Raw genomic sequence first — 22066 nt, forward strand, 5'->3', positions numbered from 1 at the left:
GCAGCCACAAATGGGCCAGGTGCGGAGGGACCCCAGTCCACAGCGGCCAGGGGGTCCTGGGGAGCAGCTTTAAAAGTGGGACCAGCAGGACAGTCAAGGCTGGTGGCCTCAGGGACTTTGGACTTGGCCAGCCTGGTGACACCGGAGCAGCTCTGGAGCTGTGGCTTGTCCCCACCACACCAGGCACGGCCCTCCCCTCCCCACACAGGCAGCCGGAGACACCGGCCCTGCAGGGGGGGTCGCTGCCCTCCCCACGCTCCTGCGCCCAGCGCTCTGCAGTGGGCCCTCGACGGCCTCCACGGCCGCGTCCCAAAACCGCCCTCCCCACGCCCCTGCGCCCAGCGCTCTGCAGTGGGCCCTCGACGGCCTCCACGGCCGCGTCCCAAAACCGCCCTCCCCACGCCCCTGCGCCCAGCGCTCTGCAGTAGGCCCTCGACAGCCTCCACAACTGCGTACCAAGCACAGTGACCATCCACTTTTGCCCCCCAGCCAGACCTCAAACACCCAGAAGTGAGAAGAGCTTTCAGAGTGGTTTTATCATTAAATTAATATCTAATCACATAATTCAAAGATATAAAAATTGGAATGTAGAAGGTGGGGCAAGCCCCTCCCTCAGGACTGGAGGCGGCAGCAGGGACAGAGCCGCACTGAAGCGGGTGAGCGTGCGAGAAACATACAGCCGAGCAGGCTGCCCCGAACACTCAGTCCAGGGTGGAAGCATCGCCCCGGCACCCCCCAACCCCCGAGCCCACTGCGCAGCCCACAGGAAGAGTGCAGGCTTTTCACATTTCAGAGGGTGGGGTGGGGTGGGGTGGGGCGGGGTGGGCCCCTGGCTTTGGGCTGCCCTCCAGCAGCCCCTGAAGGACACAGGCGGTGATGGTGGGAGAAAGGCCCCCTCTCCCAGGGAGGCCTCCTTGTCCTGAGCTTGGGCTGAGGTCTCTGTTCCAGTAACAGATGCTGGTTTTGTTTTGTTTTTTTTTTTAAGACAGGGTCTCGCTCTGTCACCCAGGCTGGAGTGCAGTGGTACCATCAGAGCTCACTGCAGCCTGCGCCTCCTGGAGTCAAGCGATTCTCCTGCCTCAGCCTCCCAAGTAGCTGGGATTACAGGCGCCCGCCACCACGCCCAGCTAATTTTGTATTTTTAGTGGAGACGGGGTTTCACCATGTTGGCCAGGATGGTCTCGAACTCCTGACCTCAGGTGATCTGCCCGCCTCGGCTTCCCAAAGTGCTGGATTATGGGCGTGAGCCACCACGCCCGGCAGGATGCTGGCTTTTAGTTCATTTAAATAGAAAATAAACCTGAACTCCACAGACACCATCCAGAGTGATTACAGGTGGCGTCCAAAGGTCAAAGGGCAGCCTCCACAGGGTTTCCTTCCTGGTTCTGAGACTTCCCAGGGACAGCAGAACTTCCTTGCACTGGTCCCAAGGAAGCCCCTCTTGGCCACCCTGAGAGGTGTTCCTGTCCCCAGATGCCCAGGAGGAGCAAGAGTGTGGGGACCGGCCCTTGCCGTTCCTCCTCCAAGTCCACCCACTTCCTGCCCCAGGGAGATCCTGAGGCCAGGAGGCAGGCTGGCCCAGGCAGGCTGATGGCGGAGGGTGGTGGGGAGGGTGGGGGGGCCCTGGACTTTCCCTCCCAGTCCTGGCACCTTGCAGGTGGAGAGGGCTCTTCAGGAAGGCATAGTTGGCCTCCTGCAGACGCGCACCTGGCCGGCAGGCACGAGGGTCTGCTGAGCCTCGCAGAAGTCCAGGAGGCTACGCCAGAGGGGGCAGCAGCGCAGAAGGAGGTGGTCTCCTGTGAGGGTGGGAGTCAGATGGGAGTCAGTCAGGGTCAGGTGGGAGGAGTCAGGGTCAGGTGGGAGGAGTCAGGGTCAGGTGGGAGTCAGTCAGGGTCAGGTGGGAGGAGTCAGGGTCAGGTGGGAGGAGTCAGGGTCAGATGGGAGTCAGTCAGAGTCAGGTGGGAGGAGTCAGGGTCAGGTGGGAGGAGTCAGGGTCAGGTGGGAGGAGTCAGGGTCAGGTGGGAGGAGTCAGGGTCAGATGGGAGTCAGTCAGAGTCAGGTGGGAGGAGTCAGGGTCAGGTGGGAGGAGTCAGGGTCAGGTCGGAGTCAGGGTCAGGTGGGAGGAGTCAGGGTCAGGTGGGAGTCAGTCAGGGTCAGGTGGGAGGAGTCAGGGTCAGGTGGGAGGAGTCAGGGTCAGATGGGAGTCAGTCAGAGTCAGGTGGGAGGAGTCAGGGTCAGGTGGGAGGAGTCAGGGTCAGGTCGGAGTCAGGGTCAGGCAGGAGTCGGCAGCTCCCTAGCCCAGCCCTGGCCTCACCTGTGTTCCCACCCTGGAAGAGCCCAGCCCCGCCCTCACCGATCAGGCAGAGCCCCTCCTGGGCCCGCGTGACAGCCACATTCACTTGGTTGGGGTCCACAACGAAGCCCAGAAACTTCTTGAGCCAGCTCTTGGTGGGCCGCTGGTCCAGGTCGCTCTTGGCACAGGTGCGGACGGTGCTCACCAGCACATAGCGCCACTCGCTCCCTGCGGGATGGGAGGTGAGGCCCTGCTGCCGCTGCGCCCACCCTCCCGGCCCCACCCACGAGCCCCCAGCCTCACCCTGGCTCTTGGTGATGGAGGACACGGCCACCCCGGCGATGCCCTCTCGCCGAAGGGCCTTGCTGATCTCAGAGGCCTGCGCGTTGTAGGGCGTGAGGACGGCGATGTCCTGGGGCTCTACGGTCCTCCCCAGGGTCAGCTGCTTGGTGATACGGACCTGAGGAGCCGAGGGGGCAGGTGGAGCGGACCCTGGTGTCTCTCCTGCCCTCCTCCAGGAAGCCCTCCCTGACTCACAAGCACCAGACACTCACCACCTCAGCCACCTCCTCCAGAAAGCCCTCCCTGACTCACAGGCACCAGACACTCACCACCTCAGCCACCTCCTCCAGGTTGGCCTTGGAGTTCTCATTCCCTTCGTCCGTGGACACCAGCAGGCTCCGCTCGTGGCCCTGCACGTGGCCAAAGATGACAGGGCAGCTCTCCTTGCCAGCGTGGCCCAGGACACTGGGCGGCCTCCTCAGGCCCTGCCACGTCTTCAGCTTGCTCTTGTAGAACGCCACAGAGGGGAAGGCACAGATGCCCTCATGCTGCAGGCAAGGATGTGCGCTGGTCAGAGGCTGCCACGCGGGGTTGTGGCCCCCCAGGGGCTGCAGGTGGGCTGGGGGCTGAGTGGGGCGGGCTCACCATGCGGTACTGAGTGTCCAGCATATGTGCGTCCTCGTGGTACCGCTCGAACAGAGACCGGTCCAGACCCAGGTTTTGCAGCCGCTCATTCTTGACCACAGGCCGCAGCTGCTTGTGGTCTCCGAGAAGAACCACCTGGAGGAATAGGCAGGCCTGGCCCTGACACCCCTAGACCCAGAGGGACCCCAGCCCCACACGACACCCGCGTCTGCACACACAGGGCACCCCAGGTGGGAGACTGTGCCAGGGACGCCTGCTCATGCTGCCCACACCCCCCGCCGACCAACCTTCTCGGCCTGTGGGAACTGCACCAGGGGGATGAGGGTTTCAGGTTCCGTGGCCATGCCTGCCTCGTCAACAAGGATCTGCCTCACGTCCAGGATTTTGAGGCTGGCAGAGGCTGCACAGGAGCAGGTGCAGAGGATGACCTCATGCCGGTCCAGCTCGAACTTCCGAGCCTCCCACAAGACCTTCTTGTACCTGCCGGGGACACTGCTTGTCACCCCAGGGCCCCCATGCTGCAGGCAGCTCCACCCCCTGGCCCCTGCCACTTACCAGACCAGGTCCTCCCTGGAGAAGAGCTCCCCTCTCTGCAGCCGGGTGTCAAAGGCCTTGATTTCCGACGAGTAAGGGTTGGGGGCCTGCCGGATCCGGTGGTGCAGGGTGATGCTCCTGGGGGACAGGACACAGTGAGCCCTGTCCACGCAGGGCCATCACGGGGGCAGAGCTCAGTGAGACCCACCTACACAGGACTGTCTGGACAGCTCGGCCCCACTCCGCCCAAGCCCCAAAGACAGCAGGCACACCTGAGGCTCTGGTTCGGCCTCCCCTCCCGGGGGCTCTTCCTGAGCAGCTTCCTGCTGCCCACACGCGGCACTGGGAACTCGCTGGCCTCAGCCTGCTCACTGTACACACGGAGGGGCTTCAGCTCCATCCTTCTCAGGAGCAGTCCTGAGGGTAGTTGGGGGACGTGAGTCCTGCCCCGCGTGCCAGCTCCCCAAAGGCCCCCACCGCCGACCCCGGCGCACCTGCCAGGACATCCACCGACTTGTTGGAGGGGCCGCAGTACAAGATGCAGGGACCCCCCAGCCGCTTCTCCCCACGGGGGGGGCCTCCGGGCTGCACCTGCTCCTGGTTTGATTTATGAAACCAGAATACGATGTGGAGGCCCACGATCGTCTTCCCTGTACCTGCAGCCAGAGAATAGGAGATTGTAGCCCACCCTGTGGGTCCCTGTGGCCCAAGGCAGCCTGCGGCTCCCCCGGCATGGGCCCTACCTGGTGGGCCCTGAATGACCGTGAAAGGCTTCTCCAGAGCCTCCCTGACCGCCACGTTCTGGCTGGGGTTCAGCTTGTGGCGGCCTCCGGGGATGTTGTAGGTCTGCCGCTCCAGGAACCTGCTGGGGATCACTGAGAGGGGGCAGCCTCCCTGAGCACTCATGCAGGGTGGGGCTGGGGGCCAGAGGGGAAGCTGGAGGGGTGGGGCAGACCTACCTCTGCAGAGGGGCTGCGGGACAGGCCGGCCCAGTGCGATGCTGGTGACCAGCGGGGACGCCTCCTCTAGTCCACGCACGGCTTCCTCCTTGCGGCTGGGGGTGAAGGCAGACACTGGAAAACCAACAGGACTCCCAGGAAAGGGGCTGCTGCCCCACGAGCTCCCCCCTCCTGCAAGTGAGGGGCCCGGGGCGGTCCCCCAGCCCAGCCTCTGCTGGTGGAAGCCACTCACAGATCAGGAAGCTGCTTGGGCAGCAGCTCAACGGTGAACAGGGTGCCCGGCCTCAGCACCTCTTCCGGAACCTTCTCCATGCCCATGTGGTGGACGAAGAGGTGCACCCGTCTGGGAGCCTCCTGCCGGTCTGCCCGGCGCTCCTGGTCCCAGTCCTGCGTCTGCCCGTGGGCCACCCAGGTATACGTGCCGGGGTCAACATTCAGGCCAGGGCCGAGGCTGCTGGGCCCAGGGCGTGGGCTGGCCGTGGGAGCCGGCAGCCCCTCGAGCCGGATGCAGAGGTAGCAGCAGCTGAAGTTGATGTCGGCACAGTTCTCCTCGAGGAAGGCGGCCTCCAGGCGGAAGGCGCCCTGCAGCTGCCCCTGCGGCGTCCGTGACGCCTCCCAGGAGACACTCAGGTGCTGAAGTGTGACGGAGTCATTCTCGGCAACCGCGCCGGTGGCCGACTCCAGGGCGCAGAATGGTTCCCACACGCAGGCGTACTCATCCACGTCGCGGTACCGGTCCCTCGGGGCCCGGTACACACGGCCTGAGAAGCAGTCTCCGGGCCGCTCCACGTGCTCCAGGCAGAGGCTGAAGCCCGGTGCCACCGTCCAGAGCTGAGGGCTCGGTACCAGGAAGCCGTGCTGCAGGCTGGTGCCGAGCTGCACCTGCAGGGTGTCCCCACTGCCCAGCTCCCGGGCCACCTCCAGGAAATGGCCACAGTGGCTCCGCTGCACCTGCACCAGCTCCCGCCGCTGGGACGCCTCGCCCTTCTCCTGGATGAGAGCAGCCGCCTCCGGCCAGCGCTGCAGCTCCACCAGCTCCAGCAGCTGCTTCCACAGGGCCGTCTCCACGGCCAGGGTGTGTGGGTCCGGCACAGTGCCAGGCAGTGGCAGGGGCGGGCTGGATCCCTGCGCTGAGTAGACACGGCGCCGCCACAGGAGCCGCAGGCCCGGCCGGCCTGCCAGGGCGTGGGGGTGCTCGGCCAGCTGCAGGGAGCCGTAGGGGACGGGGCAGGGGTCAGGCAGCGTCTCCCGGTTGCTGGGGAAGAGCAGCCGGAAGCAGCGGGAGCCCGCCTCCACGTCCACCACGAAGCCCAGCTTGTCCAGAGGCTGGGCCTTGAGCTGCACGGCCAGGTGCAGGCTGCGCGCCCGCCGCTGATAGCTCTGGGCAAGTGCGTGCTGGAGGCTGAAGGCCTGGCAGAGCCCATCGATGTCCCTGGCAGAGTAGGCAGAGCCCCCATGGCCCAGCGCCAGCAGGATCTGCCGCTGCAACACCACGTCCAGGTACCTGCGGATGGGCGAGGTGGCCCACGTGTACCAGTCCACCTGCAGCGAGTAGTGGCCGCCCTGCTGCTGGTGGCCCCGGGCGCAGCGGCCGAACGCCGAGCGCTCCAGGGCCTTGCGGAGGTCGCGGCCTGCAGGAGCCAGGAATGGGTGCATGTCGTCCGTGGTGACCAAGTCCACCATCTGTTCGTAGTCCTGGGTGCGGGCAGCAAACTGGACCTGCTTCCAGAGGGAGGCCAGGAGGTGCAGCCGCGTGTCGGGGGGACTGCCCCCGCCGCCGTGCAGGTGGTGGCCGAGGTGCAGTGACAGGGGCACCCGGTCCCCATGCTTCTCACACAGGGCCTTGAGCTGCTGGCTGCGGGGTGCTGGCTGCCACCGCAGAGGCGTGACCGTCCGCGTGCACTCGCTGCCCACCAGGAACTCAGCCACGAGCCTATTAAACTGAATCATGTACTCCTTCACCATGATGTGGGCCGCGCGGAAGCCCAGGGTGCCGTCCTCGTCCGGCTGCTCATAGAAGCAGTCGGACCGCAGGCGGTGCCGGCGCAGCAGCCGAGAGAAGTAGCACGCGGCCACGACGCAGGCGTCCACGGAGTCCAGGCGGGCCGGCAGCTCACGGCCGGCACCCGGGTGCTGCCTGATCACCTCCTCCGCCTCCTCGTAGGACAGCTGGCGGTCAGACTGGACCACGGAGGGTGCAAAGCGCAGGCTCTTCAGCTGGCCACTGGCCTTCTCCATGGTGAGGAACAGGGAGATGGCCAGGCGGTCCCGGCCAGGCAGGAGGCTGAGGACGTCCTGGCAGAGGCTGGCCGGCAGCATGGGCACTGGCTCCCTGCCGGGGGCATAGAACGCAGCGCCCTGCCTTCGCGCCTCCACGTCCAGCACCCCGTCCCTGGGCACGAAGCTGGCCACATCAGTGATGTGCACAGCCACCTCGCACCTGGGACCCAGGTCTCGGACACTGAGGGCATCATCGAGGTTGCAGGCGCCCTGGGGGTCCACAGTGAAGGTCAAGAAGGCGCGGCAGTCCTCTCGGCGGCCGGCAACCCGGCCAAGCTCCGTGTGGTATTTCTGCAGCACCTTGGTGATGGTGGCCTGGTCCGACGGGGGCACCCTCAAGCTGTACTCCAGGCCGAGGATGCGGAGGCCCTGCTCCCAGGTGCTGGCCTCAGGCAGCACCTCCCGGACGATGCCCAGCGGGTAGTAGAAGCCTTGCCGCCACAGGACAATTTGGACCCAGAAGAGCCGGCTGTGCCGGGCCTCGGCGGTGAGCCTCTCAAGCCCCACACGCTGCAGCCGGCCCTTCCGGAGGCTGTAGATGGGGACCTGCGATGGGTCCTTCAGCTCGGCCACGAAGATCTTGGTCACGGAGCCATTGATGGGGACCATGATGCGCGGGTCCCACGTGTCCATGCGGCACACAAACGCCAGCTCGTGCCTCTTCCTCTTCAGCACGCCCAGCACGCGGCCCCGAAGCCGCCCCTCGGGCGCCTTGTCTCCCGAAAGGAGCTGCACCAGCACCTCATCCCCGGCGAAGGCCATCCCACAGTCCAGGCGGCCCCTGACCTGGATGGGGCCCGAGGAGGCATCGTCCAGCGGGATGGCTGACGCCCGCTCGAAGGTCTCTGGCACGAAAGAGCAGTGGCGGTACCGCTCGGGCTCCGCGTGCAGCAGCTTCCGTAGCGCAGCCGGGGGCAGGTTCTCGTACAGCCGGGCCTGCTGCAGGGACTCGGGCCTGGCGACAGTGTCCAGCAGCCCGTCCTCCCCGACGGTCACCATCACCTTCTGGCTCTCGTCCAGAAGCTCCCGTAGGATGGCGTCGTCAGCGTTGAGCTCCCCGTCCCACGGCCAGAAGTCAGCCTCTGCATCCTCAGCCTCCGTGGACTCCACGCCCGCTGCAGCAGCCGCTCCTGCCGCACAGGCCCCGGGCACCACGTCTTCCTTCACTGCGTCTCCTGCTGGTGCTGCCGCAGCCTCCGTCTGCGCTGTGGTTGCCGTGATGTCACGGGATGCTGGGCTCAGAGCCTCATCTCCCGGCTCTGCCTTCACCATGGCCGTCACCACAGCCGCCTGCTCCTCGGCCAGGTCCCCTACTGGCTCTGGGGCAGCCTCCCAGTTCCCCGCTGCCCCAGCCTGTGTGCCTCGGGGAGGCCAGCGCCGTCTCTGCGCCACACCCTGCTCGACCTGCTCCATGGACAGGCCCTCGGGGCAGACACTGTGCCGCTCCACGCACTCACGGATGAAGCTCTCCCAGAGCTTGCCGCAGGCCCCGAAGGAGCAGAGGGCCACGGCGTCCCCCACTACCACCAGCTGGGACTGGGCGCGGGTCAGGACGGTGTTGAGCACGCGGGCGTCGGTGAAGAACTCAGGGGCCAGTGCCCCAGGGCTGAGCAGGCTCTGGCAGGTGTGCACAGTGCTGAGCACCACGACCCGGAACTGCCGCCCTGCAGGGGGCACGCAGTCAGGTCAGGCTGGGTGCGCAAGACGGTGGGACCAGCCCCACCCCTGCCGATGCCAGGCTGAGGAGTGGGCCGAGCCACCCGGGGTATCCTGGGGCAGCTGGCAGCACCTGGCCCCGCTGGTCACCCACCTGGCAGGATCTCAAAACTGCCGACAGACACCTGGCCTAGGTCCCGCCTCCTCAGCTCCTGCCTCAGTGCACTGACCTGAAGACGCAGCAGGGCCGGGGATGAGTGCTGGACGCAGTGAGGACTCGGCCACCCCCGACAAGGAGAGGGCACCCCCACCAAGCTCGGGGATGAGCGCAGGACGCAGTGAGGACTGGGCCACCCCCGACAAGGAGAGGGCACCCCCACCAAGCTCGGGGATGAGCGCAGGACGCAGTGAGGACTGGGCCACCCCCGACAAGGAGACGGCACCCCCACCAAGCTCCAGACACCTCAGGGGCCGAGCCCCACCTCAGCCCTGGGAGGCAAATACTGCAGCCCCCTCTTACAGATGGGGAAACTGAGGCGGGGGCTCGTCCATCAGCCGGAGAGCTCCCCCTCCCCCAGCAGGGGTGCGGTCGGGGGCTGTCCCGGGCTGGCCGGGCTCACCTGGGCACCGTGGGAAACGACACAGATGCACCTCTGCTCGCGGCCGCCCCAGCAGCTGGGCCAGGTGTTGTAGGCCTCCTGCACCTTCTCGACGACCTGCGCAATCTCAGCCAGATTCAGCCAGGACGCCATGGACATGTCCCGGTCTGGGCTGCCCGCCACGTGGCAGAACATGAGCGGGTAGTGCCGGGGGTGGGGCGGAACCTTGCCCCTGGCGTGGATGGGGTTGCCCTTGGCCACGTAGAAGTGCCGCGAGATGAAGCTGACAATGGCGTCCGTGCAGCGGTAGTTCTCGTGGAAGACCAGGCGGCTCTGCCGCGCCACCTCGTGAGTCTCCTGCTGGTAGCACAGGAAGAGGCGGTGCAGCAGCGTGTGCTCGGCCGCCCGGGCCCTGGCCACACTGAACAGCCGGGGTGTGACCTGCATGTGGTCGCCCGCCAGCACGAGGCGGGTGCCGTGCGAGGCATAGGCCAGCGGGGTGAGGGCCTCGCACTCCAGCATCTGGGCCGCCTCATCGATGAGAATGTGGGAGAAGAAGCCGACCGGCACCCTGAGCTCACGGGCCTGGGAGGTGGTGGTGACCACCACGCGGTGCCGCGCCAGCTCTGCCCGTGTGGGCGGGCGGAAAGCCTGGCGGTCGTCGGTCAGGCAACAGTACTGCAGCGTGACTGGGTCCGTCTGGCTCAGCGGCCGGTCCGTGTACATCACACGGAGAGGAGTGGCCTCGGGGTGGCCGCCGCTGACGTGGCTGTGGAAATACTCCCGGATGTAGATGTCGGCGGCACTGCGGGAGGGGGAGGAGCTCATGGGCTTCTTGCTGGGGGCCTCAGTGCTGTCCGCTAAAGCACCTACTGTGTGCCCAGCCGAGCTGCCCCTGAGCACAGCCCTTGTCTGGCTGTCAGAGGTGAGCAGCAAACACTGGTGTCCCTCCTGTCAGGAGTCCAAGGGGCAAGAGGCCACGGAGGGCTTCAGGCAACACCTGGGCGAGCCCAGCGGCTCCTCTGACACTGCAGACACCTGCACCTCCCTGGTCCCCAGAACCCCCAATCCAGAAATCAGCCCGGGACGTATGGCCACTGTCCCAGGCTCTTCCTCCCACTCCCCACTGGGCAGGGATGGGAAGGCCCCGGCCTGGGGAGGTGGTGGTGGCAGGAACCAGAGGAAACCACATAAACCAAAGGGGAACCTTGTGGTTAGGACAAAGATCTGTGTTTCTATAAAAACGAAAAACAAGACTCATCCCCAGAAGTCCTGGGTGGGCCATGCTGCAGCCTTCCCCGTGACACTCTCCTTGGGCCAGGGCCCCGGCAGAGGCACCCAGCTCCTCACCTGACAGCAGACCCGGCCACCCTCGGTGCCCTGAGCTGGGCCTGATAAAGCCAAAGCCCAAAGCTGGTCGGCTACAGGGAGTGCAGAATCAGAGGACTGGAGCACATCCAGGGGGTGACCGCCTGCCCGGTGTAGACTTGGGCCGGGCGTCAGGTGAGGTGGGGGCAGGCCAGGCTCGGGCTTACCTGTTGGTGTGTGTGCAGATGAGCACCTTGGTTTCAGGCCTCCGGATGACCTCCAGGGAGGCCATGGCCAGCGTGTAGGTCTTGCCGGTGCCAAAGGGGCCATAGATGAGTAGCGGGGGGACACGCCTCCCATCCCCAGGGCCCCAGCCCGCGATGAGCGCCACGGCCAGCTCCTGCTTGCGGTTGCCACGCCGCAAGGGTGGGACAGACCAAGGTCTGGGCAGGGCGCAGGTGGGCAAGTCGGGCACCACCAGCTGCTCCTCAGGCAGTGTGTCCACTGCCTGGTGCCAGAGGCGGAAGGTCATCGGGTCAATCTGGAACTGCACCTCCAGGACCAGGCGGGCCTCAGGCTGCAGCCCCAGGGCCAAGCAGCAGCGGGCCGGAAGCAGCAGCCACAGCGCCTGCTCTGAGCTGGCCCGCCTCTCCAGCCGCACCTCGAACACCGTATTGTCGGGTGCAGGTACAGGGGCCACCAGGGCTGTGCTGACCGCCCGGCCCAGCAGGAAGCCCTGGTCTGTGTCTGGCATCAGGGAGGAGGGGACGGGGACCTCTGCGTACAGTGCTCCCGGAGGCGCGAAGAGCATGTTCAGCGCTGGCGTCTGCAATGCCGTCTTCAGGAACACCTGGCCCCGCAGGGTCAGCCTGGCAGGATGGCCTGGGTCAGCTCATGGGGCCACAGCTGCCAGCCCCGCTGCCAAGTCCACGCCCCCATCCGCTCCCGTTGCCCCAGCCGCTCCCATTGCCCCAGCTGCTCCTGCTACCCCAGCTGCTCCTGTTGCCCCCAGCTCACTTGGCCACCAGCTGCTGCTGAGCCGCCTCCTCCTCATAGAGAAACTGGTGCATCCTCTGCCGATAGTTGGTTGGTGAGATGGGGCCCGAGGCCACGCTGCTGCGGTTGAACTCCAGGGCCAGGGCAGGGCCCTTGTACTTGGCCATCAGGGCCGTCTGCTCGGCCGTCCGCTCCACGCCAGGCACCACGTGGCGGTTGCCAGTGTGCCAGCGCTCCATCTCCTCAGGGTGGCCGAGCGCCAGATTCCTGCAGGGTCCTGGGCGACGCCCCTGGCCCAGCTGCAGCCCCAGCTTTTGTAGCAGCACCGGCCGGCGGCCAAAGTCGAAGACCACCCATTGCTCAAAGGTGCCGAACGAGGCAGCCTGCACACGCACTCCCACCTGGAAGTCGGCAGTGGAGCTGGGCACACGGAAGCGCTCACCCCGTGCGTAGAGCCGGCCTGGCGGGAGGCCGGGAGCCACCAGAGAGAAGTCGGCTCCTGGCTCCTGCTTCAGCAGGGCCACGTGTAGCAGGGGCTCCTGGAGAGGAGGCCAGACGGTGAGGGGGGCCCAGGGCTCCCCCCAACCCTCCCGAGAGGCAGCCTGGCCAGCGTAGCCCAAGTGCAGGGTTCAGGTCCTGGCCCTGCCACTTCCTGGATAGAACGCAAGCAGGCCACCCGGCCTCTGCCATCCTCAGTTTCTTCCTGTGCTACATGGGGGTGGCTGAACCCTCCTGGGGCCCCTGTGGATGTCCCGTGGGGCAGTGTGGGCAGCTTGAGGCCTCACCACCCACTCTCCAGGTGCCAGACCCTGGTGAATCCTTGTTTTTGTTTTGGTTTTTGAGACGGAGTTTCACTCTTGTCGCCAGGCTGGAGTGCAATGGCGCGATCTCAACTCACTACAACCTCCGCCTCCTGGGTTCAAGTGATTTTCCTGCCTCAGCCTCCCGAGTAGATGGGATCACAGGCACCCACCACCATGCCTGGCTAATTTTTTTTTTTTTTTTTTTTTTTCAGTAGAGACGGAGTTTCACCCTATTGGCCAGGCTGATCTCGAACTCCCGACCTCAGGTGATCCACCTGCCTCGGTCTCCCAAAGTGCTGGGATTACAGGCGTGAACCACCGCACCTGGCCAAATCCTTGTTTTAACCCATATACTCCATAGAATAACCCTGCCAAGGTGGGACTGTCCTGGCCCCCTGTCTCTAGGTGAGGAGACTGAGGCAGAGAGGCTAAGGGACCTGCTGCAGGTCACGCAGGTGCTGAGCGGCAGTGCCTCGGTATTAGCTCCATGACCCAGGCTGTTGACGTCTGCCCGGGCTGAAGTCACCACTTCCCCAGGGCTCCCTCCGCCCAGTCGGAGCTGTTCTCCGCTCACCTCAGAGTGGACGGCAAACGTCCAGCTGTACTGGGTCTTCCTCTCCTGGGCCTGGTACATCAGGGGCTGGTTGCAGGTGACACGCACTCCATCAAGGGTCTCTGCCAGCTGCGTGGAAGTCTAGCCTTCAGCAAGAGGCCTGGACCCCACCCCACCCCACCCACTCCCAGGGCCCACTTACCACAAGGACCTCACTGCTGCTGCGCTGGTACTCGGCCAGCAGCCGCTCCTGGTAGGGCACCAGCCCGTCCTGCCAGGCCGCCTGCCCCCGCAGCTCCACAGCCTGCGTGCGCCGGACCCACTCCTGCAGCTCCTGTGCTGAGTGTGCCTTGGTGCAGGCGTCCCCATACTCACAGAGGTCAGGCCTGGGGGACAGGGAGGTCAGCAGGGCTACACAGAGGCACAGCCGCCGTGCTGAGTTCAAAGGCCGGGACCCCTCAGCCCAATACTGGCCTCTGTAGGGAGCAGGGGCTTTATTCGTCCCACCCACTCCTGTGCTCCCGGGACAAGGCCTGGCTCAAGCAGTTCCCAAACATGAACCTCCCTTATCCGGGTCCTCAGAGGCCACATGGCTTTAGCCCTCAGCAGGTGGCAGGGAGGCCCCCGTCCACTGAACCTGGGAGCCTCTGGCTCTGCCTACGGTGGGCTCCTGCCCCGCTCCAAGCTCCTGGGAACCTCTGGCTCTGCCTACGGTGGGCTCCTGCCCCGCTCCAAGCTCCTGGGAGCCTCTGGCTCTGCCTGTGGTGGGCTCCTGCCCCGCTCCAAGCTCCTGGGAACCTCTGGCTCTGCCTGTGGTGGGCTCCTGCCCCGCTCCAAGCTCCTGGGAGCCTCTGGCTCTGCCTGTGGTGGGCTCCTGCCCCGCTCCAAGCTCCTGGGAACCTCTGGCTCTGCCTACGGTGGGCTCCTGCCCCGCTCCAAGCTCCTGGGAACCTCTGGCTCTGCCTACGGTGGGCTCCTGCCCTGCTCCAAGCTCCTGGGAGCCTCTGGCTCTGCCTGTGGTGGGCTCCTGCCCTGCTCCAAGCTCCTGGGAACCTCTGGCTCTGCCTACGGTGGGCTCCTGCCCTGCTCCAAGCTCCTGGGAGCCTCTGGCTCTGCCTGTGGTGGGCTCCTGCCCCGCTCCAAGCTCCTGGGAGTCTCTGGCTCTGCCTACAGTGGGCTCCTGCCCCGCTCCAAGCTCCTGGGAACCTCTGGCTCTGCCTACGGTGGGCTCCTGCCCCGCTCCAAGCTCCTGGGAGCCTCTGGCTCTGCCTGTGGTGGGCTCCTGCCCCGCTCCAAGCTCCTGGGAGCCTCTGGCTCTGCCTACGGTGGGCTCCTGCCCCACTCCAAGCTCCTGGGAACCTCTGGCTCTGCCTACGGTGGGCTCCTGCCCTGCTCCAAGCTCCTGGGAGCCTCTGGCTCTGCCTGTGGTGGGCTCCTGCGCTACTCCAAGCTCCTGGGAGCCTCTGGCTCTGCCTACGGTGGGCTCCTGCCCTACTCCAAGCTCCTGGGAGCCTCTGGCTCTGCCTGTGGTGGGCTCCTGCCCCACTCCAAGCTCCTGGGAACCTCTGGTTCTGCCTATGGTGGGCTCCTGCCCTACTCCAAGCTCCTGCCTCGAGTATCCTTACTTTGGGCAGAGCTCGAACTTGGAGAGTCCCGGGGGTGGGGAACGGTGCTCCCAGGGCAGGGCCTGGTCGAAGGCCACCATCTGTGCGTGCTCCGAGGATGCGCAGTGGTTCTCGAAGGCCTCCTGAGAGTGGCAGGTGACCAAGCAGGCCGGGCAGTACAGCTGGGCCCCAGGGGGCTGGCCAAGGGGGGCCGTGCGCCCGTCGCCATCAGGGGCAGGGGGTGTGAGCAGGTCCCCCCGCTGGAGGCCACCCAGCTGCTCGGCCTCCCACACAGCCATCTCCACGGCGCTGTGTGCAAACTGGCAGCGGGACTCCCCACGCCAGCACGGCTGCCCACGCCCCACAAACCTGCAGTAGGCAGGAGGCTGGCCGGCCCGGGGCCGCGGCCTCACCACCACAAACTGTTGCTTGCGGCGGCCCTCGGCGCTCACGTGGGCCAGGAGGGAGGGGCAGGCTCCGTGCTCAGGGCACTGCCCCTGGGGGTCCACGCGACAGATGCATGGGGGACAGCGCCTGAAGCAGAGGGAGCAAAGCAGCTCGAAGCGGCCGCCAAACTCCGTAAGGATGGCGTCGGCCGCCCGGCCTGCCCCTCCCTGGGCCCCGCTGCCCTGCACCTCCGCCTTCAGCCATAGGCGCTGGAGGTTGTGCTGACGCTCGAAGGTCCAGACCAGGGCCTCCTCGCGACTGCGGGCAAAGGTGCACCGGTTTCGGTGGCGCCGGCAGCCGAGCCCAGGGCTGTAGTAGTGGCAGACTTGGTAGCACAGGGGCCTTGGGAAGGTGGGCCGGCAGCCCACCACGCGCCAGACCTTGCTCTTGGTGGCCTGCTTAAAGCGGGCCAGCAGGATCTCGCGGGAGCAGTCATGCTCCACCCTACGGAGGACGTAGGTGCTTTCATTGAGCCGCTGGGTGCAGCGGGAGCAGCCCAGACACAGGTCCACCAGGGCACACAGCCGGGCCAGGGACGGCCCTCTGGTGGCCGCGGGGCTGTTGGGCAGCAGGGTGGACCCTGGAGGCGCCACCTCGAACACCAGCTTGGCTCTCCAGGGAGGCGTCTGAGGCTCCTGAGCTCACGGGTCCACGCAGTCCACTGGAACTGTTGGCCACGGTTCGAAGCCTGCGACAGAAGGAGCAGGTGAGACTGAGGCCAGAGGACATCTGGTCCAGGCCCAGCTCAGAAGCACGGCCTCTCCACCAGGCAAGGAGCTGGGGATCTGCCTATCCTGATGCCCAAGCAGAGGCCTCTCCACCAAGCAAGGAGTTGGGACTCTCCCCACCCTGACGCCCAAGTGGAGGCCTTGGCAGTAGCTGTGTCCTGTCAGGGAGTACAGGGCTCACTGACCCGGACACAGCCAGACCCTCCCTCCTGAAGGGTCTCAGGCCCCACCTAGAAGGAGCCAAGGTGACTGCTTGTGGAGCCCTGGAGGGGGCAGAGCCCTTGGCACAGTGCCGCCCCCAGGAGGCCGCACCCCTCTGCCCCAGCCAGGGGTCCTGTGCACCCCAGGGCCTCAGGCTCCTGACTCTTCTAAGGACACAGCACCTCCTTTTCTATTGAATGACCACTGGCCCCCAGGAAAAGAGGACTCCACATCTGCACCTGGGGAGGGGCCTCACGGAGAGGAGGGTACAGTGCCCACCAGAGCTCAGGGTGCCAGGAAGAGATGGGTCCCCGGGTCCCCACCGCAGCTGGGATGCTACAAGAAGAGTAAGTTTAAAAGCAACAGACTGGAGGCAGACTTCAGTATGAGAACCCGGCACTCCCCGCGGACCCCTCTGAGAAAACATCCGAGTCTGCCATCCAGAAAGGACGGGAGCCGAGACCCCAAAATCCTGCGCTCCAGTGGGTGCAGAGACCACAGCGCTGGGTCTTGCTGCGGAGGGTGCTGGTCCTGGACGGGCTGCACTGCCCCGGGCTGGGTCTGTGGCTCCCGGGACTCCGCGCCCCCGGCTGCACTCACCCTCCCGGACCCCCCCCTCCGCCCCCGGCCCCGCCACCCTGGGACCCCCGCGCTCACCCTCCTGGAGCCGCCCCTGGACCCCCGCGCCCCCGCCCCTCCGCCCTGGGACCCCCGCGCTCACCCTCCTGGAGCTGCCTGCCCTGCCGAGCCTGCCCAGGAGCTCTCAGTTTCGATTCTGGCCCGGGCACTGACGCTGATCGCGGAAATTACCTCACCGCCCCCCGCCCCGCCCCGCCCTGCCCCGCCTCCAGCGACAGCTCGGCCCCCGCTGCGAGGGAACCTCGGGAAGCGCCAGCGAGCAGAGGACGCCCCTCCCTGAAGGGCCAGCGCCGTCGAAGGCGGAGGCGGCTGGGGGTGGGGGTCCTTTCCCGCACCCCTCCAGGGCCCCACGCCCCGTCCAGCCCTTCACACACCAGAGACGCCCCGATGATGTGCCAGGCGGAAGGGGTGAGACCCTGCCCGGCCCTGGACGGCAGGATGGTCTGGTGACTCCACCATCAGCCCCTGGAGAAATCCAGGCACAGCTGACCTGGAAGCCTGGGTCCCCTGACAGGCAGGACCTGCCCGTGGCCCTGGTGCTGCTGGGACCCCAAGTCCCTTCTGTCACCAACCAGGATATGGCAGGAATGGCTAAGTGGCCGCCGGGTCCCAGAGTCAGCACGCCTGGCTCTTGGCTCTCTGGACTGGCTCTGGGCCCTCAGCAGCCCTGTGGGGAGGCCCCATAGAGGAGCTGAGGCCTCCAGCCCACTTGCAGCTCGAGTCCCAGCCCCAGCCTTACTGCCATCTCAGGGAGACCCCAGGCCTAACCCTCCCACCTAGACCACGCCCAGCTGTTAGATGTCTATGTTTAAAATAAACGTCCCATTAGCCAGGGGTGGGGGCGGGCGCCTGTAGTCCCAGTTACTCGGGAGGCTGAGGCAGAAGCATTGCTTGAACCAAGGAAGTGGAGGTTGCAGTGCGCCAAGATTGCGCCACTGCACTCCAGCCTGGGCAACAGAGCAAGACTCCATCTCAAAACAAATAAATAAATAAAATAAACATCTGTGTTGTTTTAAGCCCCTGAGCTTTGGGGCGATCTGTTCTGCAGCAGTAGATAACGGACAGTGATGCTGCCCCTGAAACAAGGAAGCAAGGCTGCCACCCAAGGCCAGCACCTCGTGGGGAGGGCCAGGCTGGGGGCTCACAGCGACCTCGGGAGGTCGGCTGGGTGGGCCGTCAACCACCAGGGAGCCTCTCCGCAGACCAATCACGTTGGAGCTCCTGGGAGAGGGCAGGCCCTCGACAATAGCAGCCCCAGGGGCCGGGCGCTGAGCAGGGTCCATGTGCGTGGAACGCTGGGAGAATTTGTGTGGAACGCTGTGTTCCTGGATGGAGAGGCTCAACACCACACAAAGACGTGAGTTCCTCCTAAACTAACCTGCAGTCGCATGGTGGACACACTGACTTTCAAGTCCATTTGGAAAAGCATCACATCACCAAGAAAGGCTGGACAGGGCTTTTTTTTTTTTTGAGACTGAGTCTCCTTCCATTGCCCCGGCGGGAGTGCAGTGATGCAATCACAGTTCACTGCAGCCTCGACCTCTGGCTCAGACAGTCTTCCCCCCTCAGCCTCCTGAGTCGCTGGGACTACAGGCACACACCACCACAGTACAGGTGCACACCACCACAGTTAACTATTTTGGAGTTTTTTCTATGTTTTTCAGAGATGGGGTTTCTCAATGTTGCCCAGGCTGCTCTTGAACTCCTGGGCTCAAGCAAACCCCCCACCTCGGCCTCCTTGAGTGCCGGGATTAGATTACAGGCTTGAATCCCAACACCCAGCCCAGGATGATGACTAAAAAGGATTCCCAGCGGGTGCTGGCATGACTTACTAAACACATAACACACTGCAAAGCCACTGAACCCGGTGTGGACACACAGTTCCAAGGCAGAACAGAGAGTCCAGAAATAGAGTCACACTCAGGAGTCTGGGGTGGGATGAAAGATTGGCTCTCGGCCAGGCGCACTGGCTCACGCCTGTAATCCCAGCACTTTGGGAGGCCAAGGTGGGCAGATCACCTGAGGTCAGGAGTTCGAGACCAGCCTGGCCAACATAGTGAAACCCCATCTCTTCTAAAAATACAAAAAAAAAAAAAAAAAATAGCTGGGCGTGGTGGCAGGTGCCTGTAGTCCCAGCTACTCAGGAGGCTGAGGCAGGAGAATCCCTTGAACCTGGGGTCGGGGGGGGCGAGGCGGAGGTTGCAGTAAGCTGAGATCACACCATTGCACTCCAGCCTGGGAGACGGAACGAGACTCTGTCTCAAAAAAAAAAAAAAAGAAAGAAAAGAAAAGAAAAGAAAGCTTGGCTCTCACACCTCAGGGAAAAACAATTCATTGATGCATTCCACAAATTATTAGAACAACTGATTAGCAGCATCTGGAAACAAAAATGGGAGGGACGGTCTCTGCGTAGCATCTTACACCATATGAAATAATCAAACACTCTCACGGAAGGAAAAGCCAACCACAGAGGCACTAGGAGAAACCAGGGCTGAAAGTGTCTGATTCTCAGGACTCTTGGGATGTGAAAGGCCTTTCTAGGTGAAATCCAGCCCTGCGCCACTCGCCCCCAGCCAGGCTCAAGGACAGGGCTGGTGGCTTCACACATGCCGTGAGGGGCAAGCATACACCCCAGAAATCCACAAAACCTGTCTCCTGAAGCACTGTTTTTTTCTTCTTAGAGAACGAATTAAACATCTACCAGCACAACAGTGATAAATTCAATGACACAAAACAATTTCACATGGAAAAAAACACCACCATCAAAGGAGTCAAAAACCAAACATGAACAGAAAACAAAATTGCAGCTTATGTCACAGTGAAAAGTCTGATCGCTCTGATATATATTTTTTTTTCTTGAGACGGAGTCTCACTCTTGTCACCCAGGCTGGAGTGCAGTGGCACAATCTCGGCAAGCTCCACCTCCCGGGTTCACGCCATTCTCCTGCCTCAGTCTCCCAAGTAGCTGGGACTACAGGCGCCCACCACCACGCCTGGCTAATTTTTTGCATTTTTAGTAGAGACGGGGTTTCACCGTGTTAGCTAGGATGGTCTCGATCTCCTGACCTCGTGATCCACCCACCTCGGCCTCCCAAAGTGCTGAGATTACAGGCGTGAGCCACCGCGCCTGGCCCTGATCTCTCTAATATTTTAAAGATCTTATAAATTAAGAAAAAGATGTATAATTTAAAAGAAAAATAGGCAAAGGATGCAAATCAATACTTCACAAAACGTGGAAAGTGAAATTGCTGTAAATGGAGTGAAGTGTTCAACCTCGGCGTAAGGGAAACGCAAACCAGCCCCAGACAACCCGTCCACCCCTCTGACATTGCAGGCACTCGGCCAGAGTCTAAACTGGCAGCACCGCTCTGGAAACCAGCCAGGCCCGGGAGCACAGGACACGCGCCTTCCACGTGGCTCCACAGAGGCTCCTGCACAGAGGGACATCTGTGCCCACCAACAGCTCCCGGCAGCTCCTTCTACACCCAATGGACCGGGAATGCCCAGGGCCCCTCGCTCAGGGTCTATGTAATGGGCAGTCTCCACCCTGTGCCATGGAAGACTCTAAGGCCATTAAAAATGAGGTTGGCCAGGCACGGTGGCTCACACCTGTGATCCCAGCAATTTGGTAGGCTGAGGCGGGAGGATCACTTGAGCCCAGGAGTTCAAGACCTCAGTAAGCTGTGATGGTGCCAGTGCACTCCAGCCTGGGAGACAGATCAGGACTGTGCGGCCAGGACAGGAGGGAGATGTCCTGTTTCCGCCCACCTTTCACATCTGTGCACGTCTTCTTAACTCAAAACAAAAACAAAAAGTGCCACCTCGAGTCCACAGAGCATTGAAAACCTGCAGGTTGCCGTGGACAGCTCTCTGGCTCCCGTCCAGCTGTGCTCAGGCCACAGTGACCCCTAACACGGGCTGAGTGTGAGACCACGGGAGAGAGTTCCACGTACACACAGCACACGGCCAACACGCTCACACGGGCTGAGTGTGACACCACGGGACAGAGTTCCACGTACACACAGCACACGGCCAACAACACGCTCACACGGGCTGAGTGTGAGACCACGGGACAGAGTTCCACGTACACACAGCACACGGCCAACAACACGCTCACACGGGCTGAGTGTGAGACCACGGGAGAGAGTTCCACGTACACACAGCACACGGCCAACAACACGCTCACACGGGCTGAGTATTAGTAATATTATTGTATCCACGTCAGCTTCCTGACTTTGTAACAGACAGCTTCCACGTTCTGAGGAAACACACCTTGAAGTGATGGGGTAAAGGGTGAAGGGTGAAGGGTGAAGGGGTATCGTATCTGAAAGGTGAAGGGGTATCGTGTCTTAGTCTCAATTGCCTGGAACTACAGGCTTCTACAGAACCGGCAAATGGGCCAGAACAAAGCGACTGGTGAGTCCGCATAGAGCACAGGGAGTCCTTTGTTCTATTTTTGCAACATTTGTGTACGTTTGTTTAAATTATTATATCAAAATACAAAGTAAGAAATGTCTGCCCAACACCCTCAGCTTGTCTCATCCCGGTCCCTAGGTCCTCCTCACCCAGCGTCCCTGCCAGTGGGTTCCATGGCCCCCCAGTGCCAGCCTGCCGTCTGCTGCCCTCTGCCGTCTGCCATCACCTGAACCCTGCAGGAAAACGTACACACTGTCCCCAGCGTCACGAAGCAGGTGGAGGTCCCCAGGGCTTAGGGCCAGGCCTCAGTTTACCTGTGACTGTGGGCCATGTGCTCTCGGGCAGGAACTGACGGCCTCTGGGTATAACTCGCTTAAGCAGGTCTTTAACACCCGGTTCCCATCTTTCCAGAGACCCTCCCGGGCGCCCTCCCACCAGCCAAAAGCTCACACCCCTAGTGGAGGAGGTGATAGGGTCTGCAGTGGGAGGGAGTGGAGCCGATTTCAGATCTCCTCCTCTTGGCCTTGTGGGAGCCGTGCAGCCGGGAGGCCTCCTTCGAGATGAGCCCCTGGGGAGAAAGTCAGGGGGACCACACCTTCTCCTTGCAGGGGTGCCAGAAGGATCTGATGGGGGTTTAGTCCCAGGATGGGTCTACGCCCCCCGGGGCCTCCCAGCTGCTCTGTCCTCTCTCCCTGCCTGGCCTCTGCACACACAGCCATGTGCGTGTGACATTGTGAAATATACATTAACATATTTGGTCTCGTCCCGTTTCCTGGCAAAAACCCCTAAAATCCCTGGAGTAGCCAAAGTGGCAAGTGCCTTTTTGTGCTGATATTGACCGAAGGCTGGCAGCCTGGAGGCAGCCTCAGGATGGGGCTGGTCCTCAGAAAGGCCTCAGCAGGAGTAGAGGGTGGTACTTGCAGCCTTGCCCCAACCTCCAGGCAGGGGAGGGGAGAGGCGGCTGAAGGCGGTCCTCACCAGTGGCCAGTGACGTAATCAATCATGCCTGGGTAATGAAGCCTCCATGAAGTCGCAAAAGGACAGGGCTCAGAGAGCCGTGGAGGTTCCTGGACGGGGTGCCCTTGTGGGGTGAAAGCTCTGCGCCCCTCCCCTTACGCATCTC

At 63.6% G+C, this 22066-nt stretch overlaps 1 protein-coding gene across 3 annotated transcripts, besides 12 other annotated features; it reads right to left on the reverse strand.

Annotated features, from left to right (window-relative positions):
* Positions 1–511: 511 nt before the first annotated feature.
* HELZ2 (helicase with zinc finger 2) lies at positions 512–16665 on the reverse strand. Of its 3 annotated transcripts, NM_001037335.2 has the most exons (20): positions 16610–16665; positions 14534–15647; positions 13111–13294; positions 12930–13037; positions 11574–12091; positions 10784–11425; positions 9270–10053; positions 8804–8879; positions 4946–8657; positions 4714–4808; positions 4498–4629; positions 4249–4410; positions 4027–4171; positions 3776–3892; positions 3508–3700; positions 3221–3355; positions 2905–3123; positions 2597–2753; positions 2354–2521; positions 512–1796 (listed from the first exon to the last, which is right to left on the reverse strand). In NM_001037335.2, the coding sequence occupies exons 2-20, from the start codon at positions 14809–14811 to the stop codon at positions 1672–1674; spliced, it is 7950 nt and encodes a 2649-aa protein (NP_001032412.2). In that variant the 5' UTR covers positions 14812–15647; positions 16610–16665; the 3' UTR covers positions 512–1671. The 3 variants fall into 3 exon arrangements, with proteins under 3 accessions (NP_001032412.2, XP_024307774.1, NP_208384.3); XM_024452006.2 differs by lacking the exon at positions 16610–16665 and having other exon boundaries at positions 4498–4808; positions 14534–15600; NM_033405.3 differs by lacking the exons at positions 10784–11425; positions 11574–12091; positions 12930–13037; ... (1 more) ...; positions 14534–15647; positions 16610–16665 and having other exon boundaries at positions 9270–10180.
* Positions 6660–6829: an enhancer, noted in NCBI's record as "experimental_61120 CRE fragment used in MPRA reporter constructs". NCBI's record gives its function as "activates a minimal promoter by MPRAs in K562 erythroleukemia cells, with activity observed for both the introgressed and non-introgressed 20:62195672 variant alleles {active_cell/tissue: K562}" and the evidence as "EXISTENCE:reporter gene assay evidence [ECO:0000049][PMID:34662402]".
* Positions 9684–9733: an enhancer, noted in NCBI's record as "active region_18229". NCBI's record gives its function as "activates an Ori minimal core promoter by ATAC-STARR-seq in GM12878 lymphoblastoid cells {active_cell/tissue: GM12878}" and the evidence as "EXISTENCE:reporter gene assay evidence [ECO:0000049][PMID:35858748]".
* Positions 10204–10273: an enhancer, noted in NCBI's record as "active region_18230". NCBI's record gives its function as "activates an Ori minimal core promoter by ATAC-STARR-seq in GM12878 lymphoblastoid cells {active_cell/tissue: GM12878}" and the evidence as "EXISTENCE:reporter gene assay evidence [ECO:0000049][PMID:35858748]".
* Positions 10684–10753: an enhancer, noted in NCBI's record as "active region_18231". NCBI's record gives its function as "activates an Ori minimal core promoter by ATAC-STARR-seq in GM12878 lymphoblastoid cells {active_cell/tissue: GM12878}" and the evidence as "EXISTENCE:reporter gene assay evidence [ECO:0000049][PMID:35858748]".
* Positions 10844–10933: an enhancer, noted in NCBI's record as "active region_18232". NCBI's record gives its function as "activates an Ori minimal core promoter by ATAC-STARR-seq in GM12878 lymphoblastoid cells {active_cell/tissue: GM12878}" and the evidence as "EXISTENCE:reporter gene assay evidence [ECO:0000049][PMID:35858748]".
* Positions 10954–11003: an enhancer, noted in NCBI's record as "active region_18233". NCBI's record gives its function as "activates an Ori minimal core promoter by ATAC-STARR-seq in GM12878 lymphoblastoid cells {active_cell/tissue: GM12878}" and the evidence as "EXISTENCE:reporter gene assay evidence [ECO:0000049][PMID:35858748]".
* Positions 13643–13999: a silencer, noted in NCBI's record as "fragment chr20:62202570-62202926 (GRCh37/hg19 assembly coordinates)". NCBI's record gives its function as "represses an EF-1alpha promoter that drives an FKBP-Casp9 reporter gene in an ReSE screen in phorbol 12-myristate 13-acetate-treated (for megakaryocytic differentiation) K562 erythroleukemia cells {active_cell/tissue: K562(+PMA)}" and the evidence as "EXISTENCE:reporter gene assay evidence [ECO:0000049][PMID:32094911]".
* Positions 16010–16069: a silencer, noted in NCBI's record as "silent region_13165". NCBI's record gives its function as "represses an Ori minimal core promoter by ATAC-STARR-seq in GM12878 lymphoblastoid cells {active_cell/tissue: GM12878}" and the evidence as "EXISTENCE:reporter gene assay evidence [ECO:0000049][PMID:35858748]".
* Positions 16710–16989: a silencer, noted in NCBI's record as "silent region_13166". NCBI's record gives its function as "represses an Ori minimal core promoter by ATAC-STARR-seq in GM12878 lymphoblastoid cells {active_cell/tissue: GM12878}" and the evidence as "EXISTENCE:reporter gene assay evidence [ECO:0000049][PMID:35858748]".
* Positions 16710–17501: a biological region, named in NCBI's record as "H3K27ac-H3K4me1 hESC enhancer GRCh37_chr20:62205701-62206428".
* Positions 16774–17501: an enhancer, noted in NCBI's record as "H3K27ac-H3K4me1 hESC enhancer chr20:62205701-62206428 (GRCh37/hg19 assembly coordinates)". NCBI's record gives its function as "activates a minimal SCP1, AML or CMV promoter by ChIP-STARR-seq in primed H9 embryonic stem cells {active_cell/tissue: H9 hESC(primed)}" and the evidence as "EXISTENCE:reporter gene assay evidence [ECO:0000049][PMID:30033119]".
* Positions 18099–18284: a silencer, noted in NCBI's record as "fragment chr20:62207026-62207211 (GRCh37/hg19 assembly coordinates)". NCBI's record gives its function as "represses an EF-1alpha promoter that drives an FKBP-Casp9 reporter gene in an ReSE screen in K562 erythroleukemia cells {active_cell/tissue: K562}" and the evidence as "EXISTENCE:reporter gene assay evidence [ECO:0000049][PMID:32094911]".

The sequence above is a fragment of the Homo sapiens genome, chromosome 20, assembly GCF_000001405.40.
Source record: "Homo sapiens chromosome 20, GRCh38.p14 Primary Assembly".
Classification (NCBI taxonomy): Eukaryota; Metazoa; Chordata; class Mammalia; order Primates; family Hominidae; genus Homo; species Homo sapiens.